Below are 10,993 nucleotides of genomic sequence, written 5' to 3'. Positions count from 1 at the left end.
TGGCTGGGCGCGGTGGCTCATGCCTGTAATCCCAGCACTTTGGGAGGTTGAGGCAGGTGGATCACTTGAGGCCAGGAATTCGAGACCAGCCTGGCCAACATAGTGAAACCCCGTCTCTACTAAAAATACAAAAAAATTAGCGGGGTGTGGTGGTGCTCGCCTGTAGTCCCAAGCTACTCACAGGCTGAGGCAAGAGAATTGCTTGAACCTAGGAGGCAGAGGTTGCAGTGAGCCAAGATCCTGCCACTGCACTCCAGCTTGGGCAATACAGTAAAACTCTGTCTCCAAAAAAAAAAAAAAAAAAAAAAGAAGGGCAAGTCCTGGCTTGCCCAGTGGGAATATCTGGGGGTGGAGCTGGGATTGTGTTAGAAGCCCTCCAGACAATCCTGATGCCATTCCCATTTAAGAAACTCCACTCCAGGTTGTGTTTCTAATGAGCAACGGGGTCCCATTCTGCTCACTGTGCAGAAGGTGATTTTTGTCCAGGAAGTTCCTTGACAATTCCCCACAGCAAAGACTGGAAGGACTACGCTGTACTCCAGGCAGATGGGATGCTGGGCCTTGCTCTCTGCTATGAGCCCTCATTAGCTTGCCTGCCCAGACATCCCATAATCTCCACCAAGTCTATCCCTGGGCTCCTTATCTCATTGGTTCTTGGGCGCACTGTCTAAGGCTTGCCTCTTACCTTGGCTGTTTTTTTTTTTTTTTTTTTTAAGAGATAGGGTCTTGCTCTGTTGCCCAGGCTGGAGTGTAGTGACAAAATCATAGCTCACTGCAGCTTGGAATCTGGACTCAAGCGATCCTTCCGCCTTGGTCTCCCGAGTAGCTGGGACTACCATCATGCACCACCACGCCCAGTTAATTTTTAAACTTGTTATACAGACAGGGTCTCTTGCTATGTTGTCTAGGCTGGTCTCAAACTCCTGGCCTCAAGTGATCCTCCTGCCCCAGCCTCCTGAATCACTGGAATTATAGGTGTGAGCTACCATGCCCGGCTCCAAAACTGGGATCTTGATGGCTGGCCACCTATATGTGGGGCAATTTCACAACTAGGCCAGTACCTGGACCAGGATGTCATATGGTTCTGGCTTCTCTCACTTCCTGACCCTGTTATCACTACTATTAGGTTGGTGCAAAAGTAACTGTGGGTTTTGCCATTATTTTTAATACTACTATAATTCTGTAATATTCTGCTTCCCGTCTCAGCCTCCTGAGTAGCTGAGACTGCAGGTATGCACTACCACACCCAGCTAATTTTTATTTTTAATTCTTTTATAGAGATGGGGTCTCACTATGTTGCCCACACTGGTCTCAAACTCCTGGGTTCATGCAATCTTCCCACCATGGCCTCCCAAAGTGCAGGGATTATAGGCATGACCTGACTCATCCAGGCTTGGCTTGACTCTTCTTGGTGTTTAACTCTCAACTATTCCCTGGACGCTGGATGGACTTTTTGGTGCCTGTCTCCAAACTTCTGACTCATCTGCTCTTGTTTCCAGCTTCCAGTTGCTCCTGGTCTTCTCCATTCTATATCAAGTAAGCCGAGGAAGGATTAAGAACAAACCCATGTTTTTCCTCCTCCAGACAACTTAGCAAAACCCTGGGAAATAACAAAGGAGGAGAAACATCACTACCCTCATGGAGACACTTGTCATAGGCCCCATCCCTGGCAGCAAGCTCTGAAATGGAGATTTGGGTACAGGGAGTGAGGGAAGCAGACTGATCAGAGGAGACACTGAAAAATGATGCAATTCCAACAGATGCCTCAGCCAGTTCCTCGGGGAGCTCTGACGCACAGCTGCCCTGCAGAGATGTCCTGAATCAGGCAGGGTTGCTGAAGCTTCGTGTCCCACACTGAAAAGTCAAGGGAGGAGGGACATAATTGGGAAGTGCATCATCCCAGGCAGGGCAGCACCCTGCAGTCATCTCAATACTTAGGGAGGAACTTGGCTGTGAGCTGTCAACAGGCAACAATCCACCAGCAGGAGCAAGAAGTGCGTTTTTTTTTGTTTTTTTTTTTTGGACAGGGTCTTACCCTGTTGCCCAGGTTGAAGTGCAATGGCACCATTACAGCTCACTGCAGCCTCGACCTCCTGGGCTTCGGGAATCCTCCCACCTCAGCCTCCTGAGTAGGTGGACTTACAGGCACATATCACCATGCTTGGCTTTTTTTTTTTTAATTGACTTATTGTAGAGATGGGATCTCACTATGTTGCCCAGGCTGGTCTTGAACTGCTGGGCTCAAGCAATCCGCCTGCCTTTTGATTGTAGGTGTGAACCATCATGCCTGGCCTGAGTACCTTGGTCCAGAAGAGAGAGGCTCTTCGGCATGTGTCACAGCGCCCCTACAGCACTGTGGAGCACCAAGAGCTGTCTGCTGTTGTGAGAAGCAATGAACTATGGTTCACATGGGAAAGTCTCAACAATCCAGGAAGTCATGAGAATCTGTCACTGCAAATGAAGTCAAGACCAGGGAGGAAATATATTATTTACTATTATTATTATTATTATTATTATTATTATTATTATTATTATTATTATTATTATTTTCAGACAGGCTCTTGCCCTGTCACTCAGGCTGGGAGTGCAGTGGTGTGATCACAGCTCACTGCAAACTCCACCTCCCAGGTTCAAGTGATTCTCCTGCCTCATCAGCCTCCCAAGTAGCTGGGATTACAGGCATGTGCCACCACGCCCGGCAAATTTTTGCATTTTTAGTAGAAATGGGATTTTGCCATGTTGCCCAGGTTGGTCTTGAACTCCTGACCTCAAGTAATCCGCCCTGCCCCAGTCTCCCAAAGTGCTGGGATTATAGGCATGAGCCACTGTGCCTGGCCGAGGAAATATATTAAATGCCCATTAAGTCCAGTGGCTCTTTTGAAATTGGTAGCTGGAGCTTTATTTGTTTGAATAACATAAAATCTGGGTCAGTAAAACACCATTTTGCTCCAATCAGAGAAACGTAACAATTAGATTATGAATTCCTTAAGAAAAGGGCACTGCCTCCTTGTATCTGACTATATAGCTTACACAATTTCTGGTTGACAAAGAAAATATTCATCCAGCCTTTTCAGACTGATGGATTTCAGAGGATGGATTACAACTGAATTTTTTAAATGTCAGAACCCACAGGAGGTCTGAGGGCGCTACAATGATGGCGAATGACAAGGCCATAAACCATGTCTTAGCTGTCTTGCTCCTTAACTGTGTAGAATAAGAGGTATTTCTTGAGCAGAAAATTGGAATAGATACAGTGGATATCCTCAAAACCATCTGCACTAAGCTGTGGGAGTGTCTGGGTGAAAGGTGGCCAGGTGATCTCTCAGTGATGGCACCACAGGTCAAGGACCTGCCATGAGACACTTTCTAAAGAATGAACTCTGAGCCAGGATGGGCAGTCAGAAGCTAGGACTGGCACTCCTGGGATAGAATCGAAAGCACAGGCCAAGTAAGACCTAAGACTAGAAGAACAAAAATGCCTGACAATGCCAAGTGTGGTGGCTCACACCTGTAATCCCAGCACTTTGGGACGCCAAGGCGGGATGATTGCTTGAGCCCAAGAGTTCAAGACCAGCCTGGGCAACACAGCAAAACCCCATCTCTGCAAAAATTAGCTGGGCATGGTGTTGCATGCCTGTAGTTCCAGCTATTTGGGAGGCTGAGGCAGGAGGATCGCTTGAGCCCAGGAGGTTGAAGCTGCAGTGAGCTATGATGGTGCCACTGCACTCCAGCCTGAGCAACAGAGCAAGATCCTGTCTTAAAAAAAAAAATCCTGGCTGGGCATGGTGGCTCACACCTGTAATCCCAGCACTTTGGGAAGCTGAAGTGGGTGGATCACCTGAGGTCAAGAGTTCAAGACCAGCTTGACCAACATGGTGAAACCTTGCCTCTACTAAAAAAAAAAAAAAAAAAAAAAAAAAGCCAGGTGTGGTGGCCCATGCCTGTAATCCCAGCTACTTGGGAGGTTGAGGTAGGAGAACTGCTTGAACCCAGGAGGTGGAGGTTGCAGTGAGCCGAGATTGCACCATTGCACTCCAGCCTGAGCAACAAGAGTAAGACTCTGTCAAAAAAAAAAAAAAAAAAAATCCTGATGCTGGGTTCCCAGTGTATCAGTCTGGGTTCAACCTGAGAAATAAAACCAATAGGAAACCTATATATGCAGTCATGCACCACATAATGAAGTTTGGGTTAATGACAGATTGCATGTAGGACAGTGGGCCCACAGGATTATAATGTAGCTGAAGAATGCCTATCACCTAATGATGTCGTAGCTGCCATAACATCATAGCACAATGCATTACTCACATGTTTGTGGCAATGCTGGTGATGCTACTCATCAGCCAGTCATAAAAGTATCACACATACAATTATGTCCAATACATACTAGTTTTTTTTGAGGCAGAGTCTCACTCTGTCACCCAGACTGGAGTGCAGTAGTACGATCTCATCTCACTGCAGCCTCTGCCTCCTGAGTTCAAGCCATTCTCCTGCCTCAGCCACCCGAGTAGCTGGGATTACAGGTGCATGCCACCACACCCAGCTAATTTTTGCATTTTTAGTAGAGACGAGGTTTCGCCATGTTGCCCAGGCTGGTCTTGAACTCCTGACCTCAAGTGATCCGCCCGCCTCAGTCTCCCAAAGTGTTGGGATTATAGGCATGAGCCACCGCATCTGGCCCGGTATATAATACTTGACAATCATAGTAAAAGACCTAATGGTTTCTGTATTTACTACACTATACTTTCATCATTATTTTAGAGTGTGTTCCTTCTATTTATACAAAAAGTAACTGTAAAACAGCCTCAGGCAAGTCCTTCAGGAGGGATTCAAGAAAAATACATTGTTATCATAGGAGATGACAGCTCCATGCGTGTGTTATTGCCCCTGAAGACCTACCAGTGGGACAAGACAAGAAGGTGGAAGATGGTGATATTGACGATCCTGACCCTGTGTAGGCCTAGGCTAATGTGTGTGTTCGTGTCTTCGTTTTTAGGGAGTAAAGAGAAAAAAAAATTAGTTGGAAAAAGTTTATAGATTAAAGCTATAAAGAAAGAAAATATTTTTGTACAGCTGTACAATGTGTTTTAAGCTAAGTGATTATTGTCAGAGTGTCCAAAAATTTACAAAAAATTAGAACCTTTATAAAGTTACAAAGTTACAGTAAGCAAAGGTTAATTTGTCACTGAAGAAGGGATTTTAAAAAGAATAAATTAGTATAAGAATTGCTTGAACCCAGGAGGTGGAGGTTGCAGTGAGCAGATAATGCCACTGCACTCTAGCCTGGGTGACAGAGTGAGACAATGTCTCAAAAAAAATAGCGTAGCCTAACCATACAGTGTTTACAAAGTCTACCTCCAGTAGTGTGCAGTAATGTTCTAGGCCTTCACATTTTCTTTCTTTCCTTTTTTATTTTTGGAAGGAGTCTCACTCTGTTGCCCAGGCTGGAGTGCAGTGGTACAATCTCAGCTCACTGCAACCTCCACCTCCCGGGTTCAAGCAATTCTCCTGCCTCAGCCTCCAGAGTAGCTGGGATTACAGGCACCTGCCACCACGCCAGGCTGATTTTTTATTTTTAATAGAGACAGAGTTTGGCCACGCTGCCCAGGCTGGTCTTGAACTCCTGACCTCAGGTGATCCGCCTGCCTTGGCCTCCCAAAGTGCTGGGATTACAGGCATGAACCACTCATTTTCTCACCACTCACTCACTGACTCACCCAGAGCAACTTTCAGTGCTGTGAGCTCCATTCATGGTAAGTGCCTTAGACAGGTGCATGATTAGTCTTTTATACCAGAGGTCCCCAATCCCCCAGGCCTTGGACCAGTACTGATCTGTGACCTTTCAGGAACCAGGCTGCACAGCAGGAGGTGAGCGGCCCGCAGGCGAGCAAAGCTTCATCTGTATTTACAGCCACTCCCCATCACTCGCCTTACCCACCGAGCTCTGCCTCCTGTCAGATCAGCAGTGACATTAGATTCTCATAGGAGCATGAACACTCTTGTGAACTACGCATGTGCAGGATCTAGGGTGCATGCTCCTTCTGATAATCTAAGTAATGCCTCATGATCTAAGGTGGAACAGTTTCATCCTGACACCTCCCCACCCTTCCCTGCAGCCCTGGAAAAACTGACTTTCACAAAACCGGCCCCTAGTGCTAAAAAGATTGGGGGCTGCTGCTTTATACCATGTTTTCACTGTACCCTGTCTATGTTTAGGTATGCTTAGGTACACAAATACTTAGCATTGTGTTACAATTGCCTACAGTATTCAGTACAGCAACGTGCTCTACAGGTTCTTGTTCTAGGAGCAACACGCTTTACCATACAGGCTAGGAGTGTAATAGGCTAGGCCACTTAGGGTTGTATAAGTGCACTCTATAATGTTTGCTCAATGATGAAATTGCCTAATGATGCATTTCTTTGAATGTATCCCTGTCGGCAGGTGCAGTGGCTCACACCTGTAATCCCAGTACTTTGTGAGGCCGAGGCAGGCAGATCACATGAGGTCAGGCGTTGGAGGCCAGCCTGGCCAACATGGCAAAACCCTGTGTCTACTAAAAATACAAAAAATCACCTGGCGTGGTGGCAGGTGCCTGTAATCCCAGCTACTCTGGAGGCTGAGGCAGGAGAATCACTTGAACCCGGGAGGCAGAGGTTGCAGTGAGCCGAGATCGCACCACTGCACTCCAGACCGGGTGACAGAGCGAGACTCCGTCTCAAAAAAAAAAAAAAAAATGTATCCTTGTCATTATGCAATGCATGACCATACATACACACACACACACACACACACACACACACACATATACATATATGTATACCTATACATCAATGCACATATATATCACTTTTATGACTTTTTGCAAGGATTTGACCTCATGCAACTGTGGGAGCTGGTTAAGCAGTCTCTAGAACTGACTTTGTCTTTCCTTCTTTCCTTTCCTTCTGATGCTGGCAGCTGCAGTCCACAGGGAAGACAGCCAGGAAGGGGAAATGACGGCTATAACCTAAGCAAGCAAGAACAAGCTGAAACCCACAAACTTAAGCTGGAGCCCAGGAGTACGAATGAAACTTGTCGAAGTGCCTTATTGCCTCTGACCTTGGGTTTCGTGTCAGGCAGAAGCCAGGGCCCTTCACGGTGGAGCCAACAGCCACACAAAGTCCAGCTGTGGGAGAACCTGGAGGGGCTCCAGGGGCAGGTGGAGTTGCAGCAGGCCCAGCCAACAAGTGGAGGCAGCAGATGAGCAGTAATGTGGGTGAGCTACAAAGCGGCTGCTGTTTCCCCCTGCACCTTCCACATCTCCCATAGGTATCCCTCTTGCAGTCCACTCTACTGGAAAACACACAAGGAAGAGAATTCTGGGAAGTGTAGTTCAGCCAGGCCCAGCACACATATGGCCAGGCCACCCACCACATGCAGCCTTTTTCTTTTTTTTGAGACAGTGTCTCGCTCTGTCGCCCAGGCTGGAGTGCAGTGGTGCGATCTCCGCTCACTGCAGCTCTGCCTCCCGGGTTCAAGCGATTCTCCTGCCTCAGCCTCCCCAGTAGTTGGGATTACACATGTGCACCCACCACCCCTGACTAATTTTTGTATTTTTTTGACTAGAGATGAGGTTTCACCATGTTGGCCAGGCTGGTCTCGAATTCCTGACCTCAAGTGATCTGCCTGCCTCAGCCTCCCAAAGTACTGGGATTACAGGCGTGAGCCACTGTGCCCGGCCCACACCCAGCTTTCATCTAAGGTCAGTCTTTCCAGAGGACTTGTCAAATGGCCTTTTGTAAGGGATTCCAAGCTGCCTCCTGGGAAAAATGCACCAGTTTGGGGCAAAGCCAGGGACCAGACTTAGAGAAGAGAGGTGCCAGCCAGTGCAGGATGTGGTCTGTTTGTCTTATTATGGTCACAGGCTGGTGGCAGAGGTTCCCTCCCTCTGTAGCTCTGTGTTGCCTGGGCTGTCATGAAAGGGCTCATTCAAGAAAATCTCTAGTAGGTTTGAAAGCACAAGGCCTCCATGGGGTTGGCACCAGCCACTTTGGCAATGATGAAAGACAACATCCTTGACTTCAGAAATCAGTGGCTTTAGCTGGGCATGGTGGCTCATGCCTGTAATCCCAGTGCTTTGGGAGGCCCAGGTGGGTGGATCACTTGAGGCCAGGAGTTCGAGACCAGCCCGGCCAACATGTTGAAACCCTTTCTCTATTAAAAATATAAAAATTTGCTGGGTGTGGTGGTACATGCCTGTAATCCCAGCTACTCGGGAGGCTGAGGCAGGTGAATCGCTTGAACCTGGAAGGCAGAGGTTGCAGTGAGCCAAGATCGTGCCATTGCACTCCAGCCTGGGTGACATGAGCGACAGAGCTCAGTAGTGTCTCTGGTCAGTAATGTGTCACCAAGTCACCATGCACTGCACTGGCTGTTCGAGGCATTGCAGAGGATGCCACGTATGAGTAGGAGAGGAAAATGGAAAGCATGAAGCTGGTGGACAAGAGGACTGACTGCAGAGACCCTGCCCAGGAGAGGCATGGCCAGGACTGTGCAAGAGTCCGCAGAGGGCATTAGCCAGGTGTGGTGGGGCACACCTATAATCACAGTTACTCGGGAGGCTGAGACAGGAGAATCGCTTGAACCCAGGAGGCAGAAGTTGAAGTGAGCTGAGATTGCACCATTGCACTCCAGCCTGAGTGACAGAGAGAGCCTCTGTCTCAAAAAAAAAAAAAAAAAAAAAAAAAAAAGACTCCAAAAAAAGAGGGGGTCTCCAAGAGCTGTGGACCCGTGACTGTTACTATGGACCTCATTTTAATCTCAGCCCAACTGGGGTTAGTGTGGCCTTGAAAACAAGCATCAAATATTGGGAGTCCATCAGATGTCAAAATCATATTCTCAAAGGATAGAGCTGCTCTGTTGAGATGGGGTTTACTCCAGAGGCTGAGCAAAACCTTTTGCATGTATTTCAAAGAAAGAAGTTGTCTCTGGCCATGATCACAGAAGAAGACGTGCCACCATTTCACAGGAATAGCACCACTGTGGTGTTTGCTTTGGAAGATTTCCTAGAAAAACAGCTGGAGTGGCCCCAAAGTGGACCCATTGCCTGAGAATATCAGCTCCATCTTTGACTCAGACACCATCAGCTGGTTTTCAAGACCCGGCCTGTTCAAATGCAATTTTCTTATGTCTGAGGAGGAAGGAGCTTGATGCCATCTTTGCAAACATAATGTTAGATTTTACAATCTCTGGGCATTTCTACAGAGGTTTAAACATCTTTCTATATGCAAATGAATGAGTTCCAGCACAGGAAAAAAAAAAAGTCATTCTCTAAGACTGAATTAGAGAAACTTCGTTCTAACTGACCAGTTGAAAATAAAAGGTCTGTGCTGTTTATTGCCCACAAATTATCTTGCCTGAATCAATTAACTACCAGAGTGTCCTTTGAACCATGCTGAGCTATAATCAAGGAAGCTGTCTCCACCTGTCACAGCCTCTTTTCTGAAGCTTATTCCAGGAATATGTTAAGGCAGAGCCTACCTGAAACCATACGTGCTGAGCCCCAGTGCAAAACTGAGTGGGGAAAAAAATAACATTTTGCCTTTTCTTTACTTGCCACATTTTTTTTTTTTGTAATTCAGGTACAGAGATGGAGTCAATCATGCATAGAGTCATCATGAACTGAGCAAAGCCCTTCTTATAAAGCTACTGATTCTGAATCCACTGTAAAAGACAATTTCTGGTCTATTTAAAGGTTATGGTTGCTAGTGAGTTCTTCCAAAACCCACCTAATTAGGGCAGGCAATGCTGAGGAGGTGGGAGCAGTGAAGGTTTGTCTGATGGTGACAGTTAGTATTTCACAAAACTGCGAAGTGCCAAGTGATTTGGTCTCTGAGATATTTCCACAGTAACATTTCTCCTGCTGTATCAGGCAGTGATTTTACTTATGGTCTCCAGAACCAAATTGAGCTAGTTTCAGAGAAAAGGGATTTATCAAAAGAGGGTTCCTAAATCCAGCTGCCACTTTGTCCACACAGGAAATGAGATGCCGCCATTAACACTGGTACAATTTTTGCCTTTCAAAGTTAAATGTCTCTCCTTCTTGTCATCAGGATGGGTTTTGCATGATACATTTTCATCCTCCTCCTACCCCTATCTTCACAGACCTTTGTCTGTGAAGCCACCCTTCCTGTGGGTCTGACTGGAGAAGCCTGGCTCCCAGGACATGGTCTAGCTACAAGGGAGGCAGTGAAGCTGGTTTTTACTTTGATCTTGGAAAGGCAGGACTCAGGCTGGGTGCGGTGGCTCACCCCTGATAACCCAGCACTTTGGGAGGTTGAGGTGGGAGGATAGGTTGAGCCCAGGAGTTTGAGACCAGCTTGGGCAACCATAGGGAGACCCCATTGCTATAGAAAAATTCAAAAATTAGCCGGGCATGGTGGGGCACGCCTATGGTTCCAGCTACTTGGGAGGCTGAGGGGGGAGGATTGCTTGAGCCTGTGAGTTCCAGGCTGCAGTGAGCCATGATCATGCCACACTGCACTCTAGCTCGGGTAACAGAGTGAGACACTGTCTCAGAACAAAAAACCCAAAACAAACAAAGGTGGGGCTCAGAGGGTGGAAACTCCTCCAAACATAAGGAGAGTGATCATAGGATCACAGGTTTGCCATAGCCACCAGGAAGGATAAATGTTCCCACAGCCAGTGTGCCTTTATTTTTCTCCCCCAGCTACAAGCACGCTGGTTCCAGTTCCCACCATCTATGTTTAGAAGAGACGTAAACATAAGTTACGGATTTATCTAAAACTCCAGTGTCCAGAATATATATCGGAGATGGGATAATTTTAGCCCTAAATCCTACACCCTCTAAATGTTCACAGCCATGTACAGGGTAGACACGGTAAATGCCTTAGTAAATTGTATCAATAAGATTCTTAACAAAGAAAGGACTCTTTTTATTGTATCCTGTTTAATGTGTTTTTATGGTCAGAAATTAAACCAGCTCATGTCGCATGT

The 10,993-nt window shown here is 46.9% G+C and overlaps 1 protein-coding gene across 4 annotated transcripts in view, besides 4 other annotated features; it reads right to left on the bottom strand.

Moving 5' to 3' along the window:
- GALNT17 (polypeptide N-acetylgalactosaminyltransferase 17) overlaps positions 1 to 10,993 on the bottom strand; it is a 581,456-nt gene that overhangs the window by 224,717 nt on the left and 345,746 nt on the right. Inside the window, exon 6 of one of the 4 annotated variants that reach the window (XM_011516469.4) lies at positions 311 to 2,451. The exons of the other annotated variants lie outside the window; for them this stretch is intronic. Within the exon in view, the coding sequence (XP_011514771.1) occupies positions 2,436 to 2,451 (16 nt within the window). The 3' untranslated portion in view covers positions 311 to 2,435. Of the gene's footprint in view, positions 1 to 310; positions 2,452 to 10,993 lie in introns of those variants that run through there. 4 annotated transcript variants of the gene reach the window in all.
- Positions 6,755 to 7,506: an enhancer, noted in NCBI's record as "H3K27ac-H3K4me1 hESC enhancer chr7:70946362-70947113 (GRCh37/hg19 assembly coordinates)". NCBI's record gives its function as "activates a minimal SCP1, AML or CMV promoter by ChIP-STARR-seq in primed H9 embryonic stem cells {active_cell/tissue: H9 hESC(primed)}" and the evidence as "EXISTENCE:reporter gene assay evidence [ECO:0000049][PMID:30033119]".
- Positions 7,507 to 8,259: an enhancer, noted in NCBI's record as "H3K27ac-H3K4me1 hESC enhancer chr7:70945609-70946361 (GRCh37/hg19 assembly coordinates)". NCBI's record gives its function as "activates a minimal SCP1, AML or CMV promoter by ChIP-STARR-seq in primed H9 embryonic stem cells {active_cell/tissue: H9 hESC(primed)}" and the evidence as "EXISTENCE:reporter gene assay evidence [ECO:0000049][PMID:30033119]".
- Positions 9,931 to 10,431: an enhancer, noted in NCBI's record as "H3K27ac hESC enhancer chr7:70943437-70943937 (GRCh37/hg19 assembly coordinates)". NCBI's record gives its function as "activates a minimal SCP1, AML or CMV promoter by ChIP-STARR-seq in naive H9 embryonic stem cells {active_cell/tissue: H9 hESC(naive)}" and the evidence as "EXISTENCE:reporter gene assay evidence [ECO:0000049][PMID:30033119]".
- Positions 10,432 to 10,932: an enhancer, noted in NCBI's record as "H3K27ac hESC enhancer chr7:70942936-70943436 (GRCh37/hg19 assembly coordinates)". NCBI's record gives its function as "activates a minimal SCP1, AML or CMV promoter by ChIP-STARR-seq in naive H9 embryonic stem cells {active_cell/tissue: H9 hESC(naive)}" and the evidence as "EXISTENCE:reporter gene assay evidence [ECO:0000049][PMID:30033119]".

Source organism: Homo sapiens, chromosome 7, assembly GCF_000001405.40.
Source record: "Homo sapiens chromosome 7, GRCh38.p14 Primary Assembly".
Taxonomy (NCBI): domain Eukaryota; kingdom Metazoa; phylum Chordata; class Mammalia; order Primates; family Hominidae; genus Homo; species Homo sapiens.
The sequence above is the reverse complement of the archived record's forward strand: the minus strand, read 5'-3'. Positions and strand labels throughout refer to the sequence as shown.